A 21,275-nucleotide genomic window follows, 5' to 3' on the forward strand; every position below is an offset into this window, starting at 1 on the left:
AACACTCTCACTCAAAAAAAAATAAATAAGTAAAAGAAAAATAACGCTCTTTTTAAATATACATGTTGAAGACTGTTAGTTCTCTTCCAATATTCTTTTTTTTTTTTTCATGACTGAACAGTTTTTAGCAGAGCACATGTGAAATAAACACATTTCCCAGCCCCACTTGCAGCTTAGATGTGGCCATGTGACAGACATCTGGCCAATGAAGCGTAAGTGGAAATATAACATGGCAGCTCCCACGAAACTTCCCTAAAAGACAATTGGTATGCACCCTTTGACCCTTCTTCTGGCCTTCTTACATCCTTCTTGGAATGTGGATGTCATGAGAGCTCCATCTTGCAACATGTGGATGAAATTCCACCAAGTAAAGATAACTCACTCAGTAGAAAACAGAAATGAGCGGGGCCAACATATCTGCCTTGGCTGCAAACTTCCAGGGTTTTTCAGGAGAAAGAAATAGGCTTCTCTTTTATTTAAGTCATTTCTACCTTGAGCTTCTGTAACACTTAGCCAAAGCAAATTATAATTGATAAAATAAAGAGAGTTTCTGGGAAAAGTACATTTAGCACAGTTTTATTTTACAGTAATGTCTTTTAAAACTCATCTATTCCAGGTAGAGAAAAAATGCATATTTAGAGAAGGGAAATTTGTGAAATGACAAAACCAAGAAATACACAATGAATAAAGTCAAATATTAATATCAGCCTCCAAAATGAGGCTAGTCCTATGGACACAAAATTTCTTTCTGTATTAGAGTCTTTTTCCTTTGACAATAATAAAAATGTTTATTTAGATAACAAGCAGGCAAATACAGTCCCCTCATATACTGAAGAACAAGAATCATCTATGGTGAGGATGAAAATGCTTGTATACAACTATCCTGGGAAACAAAAATGTTCAATTACTTTGAGAAAAAGACTGGGGATATTGATCTATGGCTAACTCTGAGATTATGTGAATTTTATATCTAGTCAATTTCTTATCTGAAGAAAGTTTTAAACTAACCTCTAAGTGAACTGTGAAGATTTATAAGAATCTGAAAATGTTGAAGATATAAGGCAAATGATCCTGGATGAAGCGGTGATCATAAAAAGCAAATCACTCTGCAACTCTTAAGTGCTTTGAACTATAAATAGGAATATGCAGAAGATAAGCTGATGGGCAGAAACAAACTTCTATTTAATGCATTTCAAAAAGCTCTTTCACTTAATAAATACAACAAATTTTCTTCTTTAAATTCTTTCACCACCTGCTCTTAACAACTAAGAATTCAGAAGAAATTATATTTAAAACTAAACAAGGAAATGTAAATGAAGGCTAGTTTAGATATCTAATTTAGACGGTATAGTGTGCTGAATGGTTCATGTTTTTTAAAGAGTTTCAATAAGTCACAATAAGATAAGAATATTATTCATTGATAATTGGTTTGTTGTAAGGAGACGCTTTGATAGTCCAATATACATTAAATACCTCATGACACCAACTATATGGGGTTAATCTTTTGCAGTTTAAAGCTTTGCCTCTGGTAGTAAAACTTCCATGTAATTGGCATCAATAGTCAAATCACACAATTCATTTTGGGTTGCTGGGTGGAAACAAAATCTCCTCTATTTGGCTCACAATCACTCTCTCAGTGGTGTGCAAAATGCAATGACTGGCCAGTGAATGATATTTACAATAGCTAGGGATTATCTTAGATTATACAGCCTTCAGCAGAAACATAAACACTTGAACAGAGCAGTGTGAAATAGAAGATAGTGTGTGGGAGGAGGCAAGCTCTAATCTGAAATATACAAGAAGAAACTTACATATGGCAAAAAAGACAGTATATAGAGGCTACGCTTGATGGAGGGAGATTATAATAAATGACAGATTAATGAGACTTGTTTTTCTCGAAGTTTATGATGGTTTATTTCTGGCATACATGCCAAGTTGATGCTATCAAATTATAGTGTTCATTACCATTATTATCATCAAGTCGTATTGATTACCAATGTGCACTCTACTGGGCATTATATATACAAGCAAAATTCAGGTGGTTTCTGACATTCAACAACCAATAAAATAAATCAGACCAAAGATTGTAGACATATGTAGGAGAGCGTATAGTGCACAAGATACTCAAATGGAGAAAAACTTAAAGGTTAAAAATAAATTTTTAAATACTTTCAGTGTTTAGGTGAACTGGTAAGTGTTTTGGTGTGTCAGTTTATAAGAACATTGCTTGCTATATCTAAGGGAACTACTTATTCATTATTTTCTTAAAAATGAATTCTATCCAACTAGTTACTTAGTAAATCATGATTTTCAAAGAAGATCTTGAGGGTAAAAACCAGAACAGAACATTTCCCCATAAACCATGGTTTCAACAATTCAAAAAAGTGAGACGGAGTGGTGCAAGATGTCAGAATAGAAGCCTATATAACTAATCTCCCTCACTGAAACATCAAATTGTAACAACTATGAGCAGACAGAAAAGCACTGTCACCAGAACCAAAAACCAGGTACGGAATCATGGTACCTGGTTTTAACTTCATCTTGCTAAAAGAGGCATTGAGGAAAGGCAGGAGACACAGTCTTGAATCACCAACACCACACCTTCCCAATCACCCAGCACTGGACGTGCAGTGCAGAGAGGGAATCTTTGCACTTTTGGAAGGGACAGTACAGCTACTGGGGGACTTTACATTGAACTAACTGCTGTGCTGTCACAGTAGAGAAAAAAGCCATGCTGGCCTCAGTCAGTGCCTGTGCACGGAGGGAATATTTGAACTAGCCCCAGCCAGAAGGGAATCGCCCATCCCAGCAGTCAGAACTCAAGTTTCTTGGCAAGCCTCACCATTGTGGGCCAAAGTGCTCTGGAGTCCCAGGTAAACCTGAGAGGCAGTCTGGGACACACGAACTGCAATTCCTAGATAACTTCTAGTCATAGCCTGGGCTAAGAGCTAGAGGACTAGGGTGGCATGTGACCTAGGGAGACACCAGCTGGCATGGCTAAGGGAGTGCTTGCACCATTCCTCCCCCACCTCAAGCAGTGCAGCCCACAGTAACAAAAGTGACTCCTTACTTTTGCTTAAGGAGAGGAGAGTGAAAAGTAAAGAGGATTCTGTCTTGCATCTTGGATACCAGCTTAGTCACAGTAGGATAGGGCACTGGACAGTGTTGTGAGGACCCATTTCTAGGCTCAGCTCCTGGACAACACTCTCCAATCAAGAGAGATACAGTGTCTCGACCAGGCATGGTGGCTCACGCCTGTAATCCTAGCACTTTGGGAGGCCGAAGTAGGTGGATCACTTGAGGTCAGGAGTTCGAGACCAGCCTGGCCAACATCATGAAACCCCAACTCTACTAAAAATACAAAAATTAGCCACGCGTGATTGTGGGTGACTGTAATCTCAGCCTCTTGGGGGGCTAAGGCACAAGAATCTCTTGAACCCAGGAGGCGGAGGTTGCAGCGAACTGAGATCCTGTCACAGCACTCCAGCCTGGGCAACAGAGTGAGATGCTGTCTCAAGAAAGAAAAGAAAAGAAAGAAAGATAGAAAAAAAAGAGAGAGAAGAAAAGAAAAGAAAAATAGATACAGTGTCTGAATGGATGAAAAAATAAGACCCAATTTTGTGTTGACCTCAAGAAGCACTCTTCACCTATAAAGCTACACACAGACTGGAAATAAAGGGATGGAAAAAGATATTCCATGCCAATGGAAACCCAAACATAGCTGGACTAGCTCTACTTATATCAGACCAAATCGATATCAGGACAAAAACTGTAAGAAGAGACAAAGAAGGTCATTATATAATGACAAAAGGGTCAATTCAGCAACAGGATATAACAATTATATATGCACTCAACACTGGAGTATATATATATAAAGCAAATATATATACAACACTGGAGTACAGATATATAAAGCAAATATTATTCGAGCTCAGGAGAGAGAAAGACCTCAATACAATAACAGCAGGAGCCTTCAACAACCCCACTTTCAACATTGGGCAGATCTCCCAGACAGAAGCTCAACCAAAGTAGTAACATTGGACTTAATCTGCACTATAGAATAAATGGATCTAATATTTACAGGACATTTAATTCAATGAGTGTAGAATACACATTCTTCTTCTCAGCACACAGATTATTATCAAAGATAGACCACACAGTAGGTCACAAAAGCAGTCTTAAAAATTCAGTAACAATGAAATAATATCAAGCATCTTCTCTGACCACAATGGAATGAGACTAGAAATCAACAATGAGGAATTTTGGAAGCTATACAAACACATGGAAGTTAAACAATATGCTACTAAATGACCACTGGGTCTATGAAGAAATTAAGAAGGAAATTGAAAAATGTCTTCAAAAAATGAAAGAAAAACCACATACCAAAACCTATGGGATACAGCAAAACTAGTACTAAGAGAGAAATTTACAGCTGTAGGTGCTTCTATCAAAAAAGAAAAAAACTTCAAATAAATCACCTAACAATGCAACTTAAAGACCTAGACAAGCAGGAGCAAATCGAACCCAAAATTAGTGGAAGAAAGAAATAATAAAGATCAGAGCAGAAATAAATGACTTTGTAATAAAGAAAACATACAAAAAGTCAACAAAACGAAAAGTTGGTTTATTGAAAAGGTAAACAAAATTGACAAATCTTGAGCCAGACTAATGAAGAAAAAAGGGAGAAGACCCAAATAAGTAAAATCAGAAATGAGAAAGGAGATATTACAATTAATACCAGATAAATTCAAAGGCTCATTAGTGGCTACTATGAGCAACTATATGCCAACAAATTGAAAAATCTAGAGGTAATGGATAAATTCCTAGACACATACAACCTACCAAGATTAAACCATAAAGAAATCCAAAACCTGAACGGACCAGTAACGAGTAACACAACTGAAGCCTTAGTAAACTCTCCCAGTAAAGAAAAGCTTGGGACCCGATGGCTGCACTGCTGAACTCTACCATGTGATAAATATTGATGCAAAATTGATGCAAAAAATATTGATGCAAAATTGATGCAGAGTGAACAGGCAACCTACAAAATGGGAGAAAATTTTCGCAACCTACTCATCTGACAAAGGGCTAATATCCAGAATCTACAATGAACTCAAACAAACGTACAAGAAAAAAACAAACAACCCCATCAAAAAGTGGGTGAAGGACATGAACAGACACTTCTCAAAAGAAGACATTTATGCAGCCAAAAAACACATGAAAAAATGCTCACCATCACTGGCCATCAGAGAACTGCAAATCAAAATGGATTAACGACTAAAATCTAAGACCTCAAACTAAGAAACTACTACAAGGAAACATTGGAGAAACTCTCCAGGATATCTGTCTGGGTAAAACAAATCTTGAGTAATATCCTATAAGCACAGGCAACAAAAGCAAAAATAGACAAATGGATCACATCAAGTTAAAAAGCTCCTCCGCAGTGAAACAATCAATAAAGTGAAGAGACAACCAACAGAAAGGGAGAAAATATTTGCAAATTACCCATCTCACAAGGGATTAATAACCAGAATATATAAGGAGTTAAAACAACTCTATAGGAAAAAGTCTAATAATTAGATCAGAAAATAGACAAAAGATTCGAATAGGCATTTCTCAAAAGAAGACATACAAATGGCAAACAGGTGTATCAAAATATGCTCAGCATCACTAATCATCACAGAAATACAAAGCAAAACTACAATGGGATATTCTCTCACCCCAATTAAAACGACATATCCAAAAGACAGGCAATTACAAATGCTGGAGAGAGTGTGAAGAAAAGGGGACTCCTGTACACTGTTGGCAGGAATGTAAATTAGTACAACCAAAATGGAGAATAGTTTGGAGGTTCCTCAGAAACTAAAAACAGGGCTACCATATGATCCAGCAATCCCACTGCTGGGTATATATCCCAAAGAAAGCAAATCAGTATATCAAAGAGATATCTGTACTCCCACGTTTGTTGAAGCACTGTTCATAATAGCCAAGATTTGGAAGCAACCTGAGCGTCCATCAAGAGATGAATGGACAAAGAAAATGTGATACATATACGTAATAGAGTACTATTCAGCCATAAAAAGAATGAGATCCTTTCATTTGCAACATCATGGATGGAACTGGAGGTCATTGTGTTAAATGAAATAAGCCAGGCACAGAAAGACAAACATCACACGTTCTCATTTATTTGTGGCAGGTAAAAATCAAAACAACTGAACACTTGGAGATAGAGGGTGGAAGGATGGTTACCAGAGGCTGTGAAGGGTAGTGGGGGGGTTGAGGGGGAGGTTGAAATGGTTACTTGGTACAAAAAATAGTTAGAAAGAATGAACACCACCTACTATTTGCTAGCACAACAGGGTGACTATAGTCAAAACAATTTAATTGTACATTTTTAAACAATTAAAAAAATACAATTTTACTGTTTGTAAAACAAAGAATAATTGCTTGAGGGGATGAACATCCCATTTTCCATGATACTTGCATGCCTATATCAAAACATCTCATGTACCCCATATATATATATGTACCCCACATATATACACATATATATGTGTAACCCATATATATATGTACCCCACATATATATATATGTACCCCACATATATATATGTACCCCACATATATATATACCCCACATATATACACTATGTATGTGTGTATATACATAGTAAATCTATTTATATATAGTATATGTTTATATATAGTATATATTTATATATGTGTGTTTATATATACAGTATATATATATATATATACAGTATATATATATATATATATATACACACTATGTACCCACAAACGTTAAAAATAACATTTAAAGATAAAAAATTTTGAAAAGTGGAACATAAATAGAAATTTGTACTTCTCTGTCTGTCTACTGTATCTTCTTCTGCATTGTCCCCATGACTGAATCCACGGGATTCCTTTCTTCCAGTCAGTAAAACAGTGGCCATGGAATAGGATATGAACAACTTTCTTAAGTTCAGGACTTGCTTGTTTTTTACCCCTTACTTCCTAATTCTACCAAGCTCAGAAACCAACAGTAAGTATTTTGTATTGGCACATATACCTATACCTGGGTTGTGGAATGAAGATCCAGTCTTGCATAAAAATCTTCAAATATGGTAGAGATTAATTCTAAGACTGCAATGATAATCCTTCGTGAGTTGTCAGCATCCTGTATGTGCTTATCATGTATCTTCCCAACTACATATGGCATTGTGACAAATAGAAGAGGCTGCTAATGCTGCTATAGCTGAATGTCTCATTTAGGAACAAACAATTCTGGAAAAGCTCCCAGATTATGCATCTGTCCCTCTAGCTTCCACTTTAAAAGATAAAATTCTATAGTGATAACGTGAGGATTAGTATACTATTCTTTCCTTATATGGGTAATGTGAGGTTATTTCCTTACCTTGACATGAAAGAAAATTATTTATTGAATGTCTCAGTAGAAAGATTACAACTGAGATAGCAAATTCTTATCAGAAACTCACATTAGGAATGGGCTTGCAGAATTGCATGCTCATTCCCTACTGTCTGAATACAGAGACGATTAGGGACTTTCTCTTCGAATCTGATTTATTTGGTTTCTACTCCTGTTTTCTCTCCTTTCGTTTCTTTCATTTTCTCATTTTTCTTCATGTAGCACAAATGGCAGCCAGAGCCTGTGAGTGCTTTAATGCTGCAGGCTTACTGCTATGAGAACTGAACAATGGAGAAATCCCTGGGGAAGCAGCTTCCAACTGTCCCACCCTCAGCATCCTAATGACCTGTGGAACTGTGGTTCCAGAATGGTGGTGATAAATTTGGAAAATACTTTCTCTAAAGCAGTAGTGCCCACATATTTATCTGACAGGCTGTACTGGGCAATTATAAAATGTTCAGGGGTCCATGGTGAAATGCCAAAAATAGAACAATGCGGTATGCTTTTCCTAAAGCTACACCTTCTTTATTAAAACAATTATGATTTATGTCCCTCCTGTACTTAAAGTACATATTTATTATTTTTAAAATGTAAGTATAAATTTTAGTTCAGTCCAGCATTCACACAGAAATGTGTACACATCACAAGTGTATGGTTCCATAAACTTCCCTAAAGGAAACACATCAATGCAAGCAGCATCCACATCAAGAAACAAAACATTACCCAGTCCCTAGAAGCCTGCTTCAGCCCTTGTTAATCACAACTCACAAAGGTAACTCCTATCTGACCTCTAAACTCCAAAGTGCCTAATTTTTTAGTTTCATATAATAGATTCATACAGTAAGTGTTCTCTTATTTCTGACTTACTTTATACAACACTGTGTTCATATTTTATTTTTCAACATTTCCTTTATTTTATGAAATATTATTAATAAGAACATTTGATTAATTAAATGCCCTTATACTTCTTTCTCTAATTTTTTTAGAGGTTTCTTTTTTTGCTATAGAAATGTAATAATATAGAAATAAATACTCTTAGTCTCATGTCTATTTTACATCATATCTAAAGCTCAGAACCATCTTGAATTTAACTACTTATATGGGTGGGTAAGTCAACCCAACATATCTGACTAAGTAGAATTCCAAGAAGGAAATACTGATTTTAAAACATTACTTTCTTGATGTTTGACAGGGACCTTGTTGTTACACAATAATGCCATCTTATGGCTGTACAGCAATTTGTAGTCTAGAAACTGCCTTCATTTTGATGATAGCATTTGAACTGTTCTACCCTCTTAGTCTTTGGGAAGTCATTTTCTAAAAGTGGGAAACACTCACTAATGGCTTACAGGATAGTAAAGATGGTATCAGAAAGAAACTAACGACAATAGAGTATAACATCTGACATTTAGTAGGCCCTTCTTAAGTGTTCATTGAAAGAAGAAAAGAGCTTTGTTTCTCTAATCCCAGATAGATCTTATGTAAATTCTTTGTTTTTACATGTTTCCTATAGGTATATTTTATAAGCAGTTAGTTACCCACCCGAAAATCAATGAAAACTGAATTTAGCAGTAATATTAATTTCCCAAAAAGTTAACTAGTAATCTTACATATAGGCATATCTATCCATACGTTCATGGTGCTTGTGGATTTACTGTTGACTGTGTTGACTGTTAGTGAACAATCAGAATGTCCGTGAAAATAAGGCTTTTAATACTTTGATGATGTGTAACTTGTTGAGATACATGTTGAAATTCTATTTGCTGAAAGACAATGTATGGAAGCAGGTATGTTAGATAATGAATGAGCAGTCATAAATTAGTCTGGCTTTTTAAATATCTTCCTGTTCTCATCTAAAGCGTAATGTCTGTTTTACCTTATGACATTTAATAGAGATGACTGAACGAGAAATACGCAGATGTACTATTTAGTATGTGCTTAGGCAAGTCACATAACATCTTTGAAATATAGTTTTCTCCCTTATAAAATAATGAAGCAGGGCAAAACCACTAAGGCATTTTCTAGCTGTAAAACAATCCTGTTATAAATTATTAACTATCTCTAATAATTTGAATTATGGTTCAGCAAATATTAACATCTCTCCCCCCTTCCACTGTAGGAAGAGTCTACTTTCTCATTCTATTGATGTCAGATTTGGCAACGTAATTTGCTTTGGCCAATCAAATGTCAGTGAACTTCACAGGAGCAGAGGCCATGAGTGTTCTTGGGAGGTTTAGGTTTATACTTTGGTGACTGGTCATGAAAACATGTCACTGACCCTTCATCTTAGGTCCAGAGCAAAGACATATATAGCAGACCTTAATCCAACATGCATCATGGAACCTAGCTCTACTAACCCACATCTTGAAGCAGAGCTTCCCGGCCAAGCCCAGCTGAGTCAGTCAAGGTACAAGTAACCTAAACAGCCAGAAATGCCTGTTGTTTTCAGTCAGCAAGTTCTAGGGTGATTTGTGTCACAGCATTATTGCGGTCATAGCTAATACTACCATACATGTACCATTTAAGAAAAATACCAATATAGCCCTTCTTACTAGCTCAAATTTATTTTGATTTAACCCAAATTGGCTTACTAAAAAACTCAGCAGATTTTTGTTGAGAACACCACATGAAGGCTGTACTGAACATTTGTGTATTCAGGAATGCATAGCTTCTAAATCTCTCCAAGGATTCAAGAATCTACCATTGTATGGGACTTAGTAGGACACGAGGTGTTGACTGCCACTACAATGAAGAACAAATTCAGCTATTTATTTTCCCTGATCTCTGGCAATAAGAACCTAGTTCTGTGGCCTAAACCTGTATTGTAACAGCAGTCATCAATCTATGGCCCATCAGCAATTCCAGCCTGCCATCTGCCTTGGTAAATAAAGTTTTATTTAAACACAACATGTCCATCCATTTATATATTATACATGGTTTTTTTCACCCTAAAACAGCAGAGTTGAGTAGTTGTGACAGAGACTACATGACCTGCAGGGACAAAAATATCGACTAACTGCCCCTTTACAGAAAAAAATATCCATCCTCTGACTATCAGATGCTTCTGCCAGAGACCCTAGTTGTAGAATGAGCGACACACAGCAAGAATAAATAATTTAGATACTTTTTTTTTGCAGTGACGATAGCAAGCAATGTCCAGTGCAATGGTGCTCCTGGTAAAGCAATGGACTCTGGCATGACAGCAAAATAATTCAGATTTACCTCATAGCTTGATAGTAGATATATTCTGGATGCCTAGCCTGCTCTTCCTTTATAGTTTCTGCCCATTGTTAAACCTAGCTCTCAGGCTTTCCTATTGATTCCATGAGGTATCTGATATCCTTCTAGTAATTTATATAATTCTACCTAAAGTAACTAGAGTCACTTTCTGTTAGTTGTAACTCAGAACCTTGAATGGTCTATAGACCTTGACTTATTCCCCATTCTTAGTAAGATAGCTTCATTCCATTCCCCAGGGATCTTGTTCTTGCCCTCTTGTACAGCTCCAGTCTATCAACCCTTATTTTACTGGCTGGTTGTGCCTTTTCTCTCCAAGACTGTGAAGCTCTTCAAAGCAGGGACTGAGTCTAATTCTTCTCTCTGTAGTTCTCAGGGAAATTTGAAAGCATGTAAGAATGAATTAACAGATATCATGACTATCAGAACCATAAGATCACCATTTTCATCATCAAAATTGCCAACCTTAACTGAGCCATTATCGTGTTTAAGCAACCCACTAAGCTCCCCACATATATTGTGTCAGATAATCCTCATAACAACCCTGTGACATAGACACTATTCTTATCCTATTTTATACATCAGAAATGTATGGAGCAGAAGATTTAAGAGACTTGCTCAAGGGCACATAGATAGCAGAAAGGCCAGAATTCCAAAACGGGTTGGAACTCTAGAGCCTGTGCTTATAAGCAATTACTTAAAACAGTTTGTATCTGAGATTGTACTAAAAGTCATAGGAAATTTAACAGCTCCTGACCAATTCCTATAGAATGTCAATGGAAGTACAATTTCAACCTCTGGATAAGGACAGGGTGGATCTATTGGGGCTAGAGAAACTCTATCCTTTGTCAAAACCAGAAAAGTCCTCAGAGTTGGGGTGAGATTTCAGCGACCCTCTCTGTGGAATGGCGTTAGTGTTTCTGTTTAAGTCTAAGGTGAAGGTAAACTGAAAGGGAAATGTCCATATGACCCAGTGAGAAGGGAATACCTGGATCATTTGCCAAAAATTACTCATGAGTAAAGCGGAGGAGAAACCTCAAAAAGCAGAAAGCGTTATTTCTACTTTAGTGCAAAACTGGTAGGTGTATATAGAAGCACAGTAATCACTGGCTATCCAAGAAACCTCAACGGTCCTTAGGGGATGGTGTGGGTGGCCTAGAATGCTTGGAGAAAACACTGACTATAAGAAGACAAACCAGAGGGGGAAGAACTTCCCAAGAGTGGAATGAACATCCCAAAAGATGGTAATGAAACTGACATCATTGGAGTAGCCCGCAGAGCCTCATAATGTCTCAATGTGAAATGCTGGGAGAAAGTACACCATGGTGGCGATATAAGTTTATTCAAATATTTTTGTTAATTTATTTTAGAGAGAGTCTGTTACTCAGGCTGTAGTACAGTGGCACAATCATGGCTCGTGGCAGCCTTGAATTCCTGGGCTCAAGTGACCCTCCTGCCTCAGCCTCCCAAAGCACAGGGATTACAGGCATGAGCCACCATTTTATAAGTTTAAGTTTGTATTTGTAGCATATACACAGAGTGGCTGAGTTTCTTTGCCTTTATCAAGCCTGGCTTTGGATACTGTGGGACCAGCTATTTTCAAGGAAGTTGAGATAAATCTGTTTTTTTGTTTTGTTTTGTTTTGTTTGAGACGGAGCCTTGCTCTGTCACCCAGGCTGGAATGCAGTGGTGGATTTGGGCTCACTGCAGCCTCTGCCTCCTGGGTTCAAGGGATTCTCCTGCCTCAGCCTCCCGAGTAGCTGGGACTACAAGCGCATGCCACCACGCACAGGTCATTTTTGTATTTTTAATGGAGACAAGGTTTCACCATGTTGGCCAGGCTGGTCTCGGACTCCTGACCTCAAATGATGTGCCCGCCTTGGACTCCCAAAGTGCTGGGATTACAGACATGAGCCACCGCACCTGCCCTGGAAGGTGCAGTGAGATAAATCTGGTAGACTATCCAAAGGGGAAATATTCTCAGGTTTCGGAGAGGAGGCTTGAGTCCAGACACATTGAACACCCACTTTGTGCTCAGCACTATATCAGTCCTGAGCATATAACACAAATAAAACATAGCCCTTTTCTATAAGGAGCTTGTGTGGGAGGCAGAAAAGTAAACAAATTGATTACTATGTGTTAGGTTTTAGGAGCAGGCACATCAGATCATATATTCTACACGGTAGCCACCAAGTCTGGAAAATTTACAAATGCATAAATGATTTATTGATATTAAATTACATTAAATGATGAAACAATATCCAAGTTTCCAGATGTTAGGAGCGACTAATAGTTTTAGGATTTCTAGAAAAAGACAACATCTGAAGTGAGACCTGAAGAACAGGCAGGTCAGAGGGAGTACAAAACACTTGGGCATCTGCAAATTGATTTAATATCGCTAGAACATAATTGGAGGGGCTTGCTATAGGGCAGGCACGAAGAAATAAGCAGTGAGGCTGACCAGATAATTTTGCACAATTAAGGAGTCAGGGTTTCATTCTCAAGGGAATGAGATTATAGTACCAAAGCTCTTACACTTTAGAAAAATGACGGCCACTGAAAGATCGTTGAGAACAAAGTGGAGATAATCACTTGAGACAACTGAGATTAATGCTAGAAATCTCTCTTTAGGTGCCTGATGTAGTAAACCAAGAACTAAAATAGGAGTAAAGATGGTTAGAAATGGACAGATGTAAGAGATACCATGGAGGTTCCCTATAATTATTAGACGAATGATTTGATTTCCTCTGAGAATAATTAAGAAGCCTACCTTGAGGATAAAGACTTCTGAAATGAATCACTTTAAGCTGTTAGAGAACTTTATTACTTTTAATCTAAAAATGTAAAAGAAAGAGTAATCCACTTCTTGTGATGTGAAGCTAAATAATGTAATTGAATTTCTGCCACCCCCCAATTAAGTCAACAGCTAAATATTTCAATTAAGATAAAAAGAAACATGATTTTAAATCAACTTAACAAATTCCCCATGGCAAAAAAAAATGTGGGGGAGGGTAATGCAAAGTGTAAAGTGTCACCCTCCAAAATATAAATAAATGAAAATCAATTTTTTTATTGATAGGTAGTATTTTAAACATGTTAATCTAAGTATCAAACTCCTATAAATTTGTAGATACAGATTTGACTAAAGATAAATATGTTATATCGAACAACTGTTTATAGCACCTCAATGCCCCAATCTGATTTACGATTACCTGAAATTTTAGAAGATATAATGCTTCAACATAACGCTAAATTTAATACTGAATAATTTCTACAGTTCAGCTCATTTGTCTGAATTGTTCATCATTATTTGTTCTCATTTTACTTACCATTTTTCAATGAGAGTGATACTTCTTTTTCCCTGTCTTTTTTCCATGGAGGGTACTGAAATAAATTCTACAGTTCCCTGAAAACAAATCATTTCTGCAAGTATCAAGAAAAATATATGTGTTACCTACCCTTGTCGGTCCTTGTACATTTTGTTAACTTTTTCCCATTGGAAATCAAGCTGGGAGAGAGCTTCCTGTAGCTTCACCCTTTCCACAGGCGTTGCACTTTGCAATGCTGCTGTCTTCTTGCTATGAATAATGTCAATCCGACCTGAGCTTTGTTGTAGACTATCTTTTATATTCTGTAATATAAAAATTTTAAAACAGTAAAAAAATGAATTAGCTGTCTATAGAAAGAGAAAAATATATATATATATACAAATCCCAAAGGTAGCAAATGGTGTTGCAATTCTTAATTATTGACTTTTTAAAGTTAATAACCATGAAGTCCAGTGACTTTGACATGTTCAAATTCAATAGGTAAATCACAGACCTCATCCTGAGAGAGTGGATCGCTCCCTACATCTTAAAACTGCCTTCATTTGGCTTCTGTATCCTGACCTCTTCTGCTTTCCTTTGCTGGATCCTTCTCATCCTGATCTTAATATTAGAGTGCTCTGACTCAGTATTTGCACTTCTTTTCTTCTCTGTCCATAATCCATCCCATTTGTTCTCATAATTTTAAATATCTTATATAAGACAATGACACCCAAATGTGTATCTCAAGCCCGGACATCTCCTCCGAACTCCAGTCTAACAAATGCTAATTTCTCAACACTTGGAGGTCTCACGAGACTTTCAAACTTAATATGACGCAAACAAAATTCTGAACTGCATTTCCTAATCCTTCTCATCCCATAGATTCCCTCATTTCAGTAAATGGCAATTACTGATTTCAATTGAATTATAGTAATTCAATTAACAATTACTCAGATTGACAACTTTGGAGCCATCCTTAATTTTTTCAGTCTCCAGTATTCAAATTATTGGGCAAATGTTTTGGCTTGACTTTCAGGACATATGCAGAATTTGACTGCTTCTCACTACCTTTCTTGCTACAGATCTGATAGAAGCTATTATTGTCTCTCATCTGGGTTATAGAACTACCTATCTAAATGGTCCTCTTGCTTCCGCTCTTTCCCCCCTACTGGATAATTCTCCACACAAGAGCCGAAAAGATTCTTTTAAAACATAATTGGGATCATATCACTCCTCTGCTCAAAATCTTCTGGTGGCTCTTCATCACAGAGTTCAATCACAGCCAATTTCAAAAGCCTACATGAAAAATAATTATTCTTGCAACACTTTATACAAATAATCAGGCCAAGTATAATAAAGCAAATCAGTCCTATGATGATCCATCTTTAGTAAAAATGGGAGACTGGAGAGAGAAAAAAATTATGTTTTAAGAACTATGGTACACCTGTTATTAGTCTCGTCAGCTGTTTTTGAGTTTTTTCCTGCAATATAGACTGATCCTGCTTATTCCTGTGAACCTGCCAGTGATCTCTGACTGCACCTCAGAAGAAACAAGAAGGATGGGTAATATAAAAACCTGGATCAGTATTCTAATTCTGGGCATGTATTGGAATCAGCTAGCAGCCCCACATCACTTTGGTTCCAACAGCTGCCCAGTTCACGGAAAGCCTTCTAATTTAGTTTACTTGGGATAATTTTACTTATTGTGTTTTACTGTTGTGGAATATATTTGCTGTTTTACTTTTTGTATAGGAATGCAGAATAAGCTTACTCAATGTTTTCTTAGATTGAAAACTTACTAATCTTCCAGATATCACCATTTATCAGTTATGAATGGCCCTCACCAAGCTGATGCTTGCTGACTGAGCTCCTCTCTACCCTGAATACAAGAGACCCTAATAGTTAGGCAGAAATATCATCACCCATATTCAGCCTGAAGAAGTTACAGAAGATGTATTACCCTTCTACTACTTAATCCTAAGGGTAACTCTACTACCCTTAGGATTAAGGGTTCCCTTGTAAAAGAAAGAGGGGAAATATGTCAGAGGCGTTCGAACTAGAACAACTCCATCTTGAATAGGGGCTGGGTAAAATAAGGCTGAGACCTACTGGGCTGCATTCCCAGGAGGTTGGGCATTCTTAGTCACAGGATGAGATAAGAGGCCAGAACAAGATACGGGTCACAAAGACCTTGCTGATAAAGCAGGTTGCTGTAAATAAGCTAGTCAAAACCCACCAAAACCAAGCTGGTGAAAAAAGTGACCTCTGGTCCTTCTCACTGCTCATTATACACTAATTATAATGCATTAGCAGGCTAAAAGACACTCCTAGCAGTGCCATGACAGGTTACAAATGCATGGCAATGTCAAGAAGTTACCCAATATGGTCTAAAATGGGAGAAACCCTCAGTTCTAGGAATTGCTGACTCCTTTTCCCAGAAAACTCATGAATAATCCACCCCTTGTTTAGCATATAATCAAGAAATAACTACAAGTATCCTGAGTCAAGCAGCCCATGCCACTGCACTGCCTACGGAGTGGCCATTCTTTATTCCTTTACTTTCTTAATAAACTTGCTTTTACTTTTTTTAAAAAAGCATAATCTTCACTATGACCTATAAATCTCTACATGACTTGGTTGTATACTACCTACCATTCCAAGCTCATCTCTTCCCAGTCTCTTCATAGTCCACAACACTTCACCCTCATTAGGTTTATTGCATTACTTGAGTATAACAACTACATTCTTGCTTCAAGATTTCTGCCCTTGCTGTTCTACCTGCCAAAAATAGTTTTCCTAACCCACATTTCTATCAGTGGTTCCCTTACTTCTTTCTCACGTTAAAGGGGCCTTCTCTACTACTCTATTTTAAATAGCACCAGCAATCACTCTTTATTCCTGGCATTACTCTTCCCTTTTCTTTATAGTACTTATTACTAACATTAAAATATATATCAAGTAGCCGGTATATACCACTAATTTGAAATCTATGACTACAGGGATGTTGTTATCTGTTGGGCTTCCAAAGCTCAAACCTGTGCTTGGCACATGATAGATGGCAAAAGCTTTTTTGTTGAATAAATGAATAGATGGTCCCATAAATTTAATCCATAATGTTTTGTTTATATTCTATTTAACGGAAAAATCACAAACCACAAATGGGTTATACGGGAAGAAAGAAAAATCTAAACATATTTATTCTCAATAAATTTGCTAAAAACTACATTCTGGCTATTCTTCCTAGTACGAATTTTGTTATTTTGATCATCTAAATTATACATAAGGTCCACTGAGCAAAATTTATTGAGTTCTTCCCATGTGTAAGGAGCAATATAGCAGAAACAAAGGTGGGTGAAACACAGTTTAGTTTGCCTTTAAGAAGTTTTAAGTAGGTTTTATTGTAGTAGTAAGAAAGGATATGGTTTGAAGAATTGAAGAAAAAAATCCAAGTATAGAAGCCTTAGCTGGATGAGAAGAAGGAAGAAATGAGTGTTCCAAGTGGTACCAAACATTTTCTAGAAGTTAGAGAAAACATGTATCATATATTTGGTCATAGGCTCAGGAAAGAATTCACGAAGAAGGTGCAAATTGCAGTAGACATATCTGAGTAGTAGAAGTGGGAAGAACATTAGAGCTAGTAGGTAACACACACGCAAAGCTAGGTAACAAGCGCAGTCATATTTGGCTGCCTTTTCAGTAACATAGAAGCTTAGGGGAAGATGGGGCATGAAACAGAGGCTGAGGATGTTCAATAATGTGCTTTGAATCTCAACAGAAAATTCTGCCTGTACTTCAGTAGCTAATGGGGAACTATGATTTTTAAAAAGTTATCATTATGTAAGATTTCAAATATATTTGAAAGTAGGAAAATAATACAAATAGCTCCCATAACCCTATAATCCAGTGCCAACTGTTATGACTCCATGGACAATCCACCCACTCACCTCTTCAACTAGATTATTCTGAAACAAACTGATATATTATTTTCTCCATAAATACTTCAGCATTTTTCTCTTGCTGAAATATTCTCTCATGAGAACTTTTTTCGGAAAGTACATATATAATACCATTAACACACCTACAGTCTTAACAAAAGTTCATTAATTGAATCAAGTATCTAGTTGCTATTCACATTTGAGCTGAAGTGGGAAGGAAGTTTAGGAAAACAGCTCAGCAGAATTCAGTGACTGTGTGTTGGGTGAAGAAGAGGAAGAACTTGAATGAGTCTTAGGTATCTGGCCTGGGCATCCACATGATTTGTGGTGTCATTGGGTAACAGGATTTCAGACAGATGAAGAGGTTCCATGGTTACATGCTTGTGTATGTGTGCATAAGTGATCAGTTCAATTTTGGACATGGTCATTCTGAAAAGCCTTTGAGGCATCAAACTGTAGATGTTCCAGAGGCAGTTGAAATCAGATTTTGAGAAGAGGAGTAAGATGGCAGGGATTGCTGAGCCATACATATTTTCACATTTGGATACATGGACTAGGCTTTCTGAGCAAAGAGTTGTAGTAACTGTCTTAAAGGGTGACTGAATGGCAAGCGTACCTTGGAGTTTAGTGCATTGCTCTGGAGAGATTTAAAAACTTTTATCTCCAAGAGCCCTTTGATTACATTTCAACTTATATTCCAAAAATAATAGACCTAGATCATTGGTTTATAGCCCAGAGCAAAGTCTCTGTCTTCCTGTATGTCTGTCTCTCTCACTTTCTCTCCTCCTGATACATCAGGTGCTCTATATAATCTCCAAGATCCACAATTCTGGGATTTCTCTCCTGTACTACAACCCCTGCACTCACAGATAAACATCTTGCCCTGAGATGCTTTTGAGTAATTAATGATGTATTCTCTCATCCAGAGATCTTATGTTTCCTGACTAGATAAATATAAATTTTAACAAATATCAACAAAGGGAATATTCTTTTTTTTTTTTTTTTGAGATGGAGTCTAGCTCTGTCACCCAGGCTGGAGTGCAGTGGTCTGATCTAGGCTCACTGCAAGCTCCGCCTCCCGGGTTTACTTACACCATTCTCTTGCCTCAGCCTCCTCCCGAGTAGCTGGGACTATAGGCGCCCACCACCACGCCTGGCTAATTTTTTGTATCTTTAGTAGAGACGGGGTTTCACCGTGTTAGCCAGGATGGTCTCGATCTCCTGACCTCGTGATCCACCCGCCTCAGCCTCCCAAAACAAAGGGAATATTCTTGCCTATTTTCAGTCAAAATTGGGAAGCATTTTAATCATTTGTAAGTTGGAGACTGTGTTAGATAGGGAGTGACTGCTGCTGATCGTACAGCTTTCCAGATGACGGGCTCTGAAGAAAACTTCACAATCAGAGAGGGAAACAGGAAAGAAGTTAACAATAAAACTTAGAGGATTTTCTGCCTTATTCTAAGATTTCACGTTTGTGGTCCACGAGGACTTGCCTTGAGCAAGAACTAAGCTGAAGAGGCAGGTGAGACTACAGATAATGTCAGTTGTAAAAGGTAAAAGTCAATGCTTACAATGGGAACCTTATAAAAAGCAACTGTGTTCTCGTGTCTTATTTATCAGCTCAGCAACAGGATAAGATACAATGGTTATGGGTGATGTGAGTGAATTTCAGAGAAAGAAGGTGTTTTTAAAATAAAATTTCAAGGCATTCTCTTCCAGTCTATGTACACCTTGTGATGGAAAGCTTTCATTATTTCTTTTGTTTCGCACCTCAATTTAACTCTGTGGAAAAAGTACTTATCTGACAGGTCAGGTATTACCATACAAAAGAAAGAACAAGCCAACACAGAAACAATCTGAGAATTTACTTATCTGGAGGAATGCAGGTTAAAACTGTCTTTTAGCAATTTCACATAGAGAATTGATAGTCATTGGAATGTGTGTGATGTTGAATAAGACTAGGGATGGTCAGATTGCTCAGGAAAGGTGTTTAGGGTGAAAAGAGTGAGAAGAAAGGTAGCATAAAGATGAACCTATGTGGAAAGCATGGGCAGAGGAAGGAGATGAGTATCCCTAAAGAATAATAGTCATCAGACCCAGGAAGAGAACCAGAAGGAGGGAGGGAGTTGTCAACAAGTCAGATGCAGCCAGGACCAGGAGGGAAAAGTCAGCTCGGGCAATTTAGGAGGTCATTGGTGATCTTATCGAGAGCAACAACAGCATGTTGGAAGTGGAAAACATAAATGTAGGCAGACCAGACTGTCTTTTGCTGTCATCATCTTTCACTATAAAATAGAAAATAGCTTTGTACGACATTGCAGTATGCTGTATTTGACATCAGAGGCTTGCTTATTGAAGAAAAGTTTCATATTGATAAAAACAAAACTCATAATAAAACAGAAACTGTTGGATACTATGCTCACTGCCTGGGTGATGGGGTCATTCATATCCCAAATCTCAGCATCAAACAATATATCCATGTAACAAACCTGCACATGTATTCCTGAATCTAAAATACACTTGAAATTATAATAAAAGAGATACAATGGATGTAATACCTGTTATTAATGCCCTAAAAGCCATTGAACTCAAGCGTATCTCTAGTATTATTTCTTTACTTTTATTTACCTGGTAGAATTTTACTACCATCTTCTGATGGCTCCAAGCCTGGAGTCTTGGGTGGAATGTTTAGGGCTACTCCGCTAGCCTGATTAGGTCAGGTACCAGAAACGTGCACCAACATATCTTCTTGGCTGCTTCTGTTAACTTGCCTGACCTGGGCAGCCTGATTTCACAAGTACTTGATTCAACTCTGAATTCTTTTAAGTCACTGTCTCCATCATTCTTGCTTGGCTGCCAGTCCAATGGCAAAGATACATAACTCTGCCAAGTCCTCCACCTGATACCAAGACTCCAGCTGAATGAAAGGCTGATTACTTAAATTCACATTGGGCAACCAATCACATTTGTTAGTACATAGCAGGCCCAAACCCTTTAAATGCATAGCTGTAAGCACCCATGGAGAAAAACATTCAAGGGAAGAGATAAAGGATCTTCCCCATCAGCATATAAAAGTTATCCAGTTATGGCTTTGATATGGTATGCGTGTGTTTGTGCGTATGTGTGTGTATGTATACTCTCTGAGGATTTGAGCTTGCAAAGCTTCCTGATTTTAATCTGAGTCTCTGGGGAGCTACCAATTCTTTGGAATGCTGTAGCATTGCTCAGCATCAAGTTATGAACGGTTTTAGCAATGCTGTACAGCATGTTACTAACGCGGGAAAACTTTCTATCTTAAAGGAGAAAAGCAAAAAGCAAAAACTGGGGCAGGGGATGTCACACTCCCTGGATATCTAGATAATAGCT

General features: G+C 37.4%; 1 protein-coding gene across 17 annotated transcripts in view; it reads right to left on the minus strand.

Moving 5' to 3' along the window:
• Positions 1 to 21,275, minus strand: part of DMD (dystrophin) — a 2,220,167-nt gene that overhangs the window by 1,154,183 nt on the left and 1,044,709 nt on the right. For all 17 annotated transcript variants that reach the window (XM_006724469.4, NM_000109.4, XM_011545467.2 and 14 more), the window contains 1 exon segment: positions 14,125 to 14,297. In XM_006724469.4, the coding sequence (XP_006724532.1) occupies positions 14,125 to 14,297 (173 nt within the window).

Source organism: Homo sapiens, chromosome X (assembly GCF_000001405.40).
Source record: "Homo sapiens chromosome X, GRCh38.p14 Primary Assembly".
NCBI classification, from domain to species: Eukaryota; Metazoa; Chordata; class Mammalia; order Primates; family Hominidae; genus Homo; species Homo sapiens.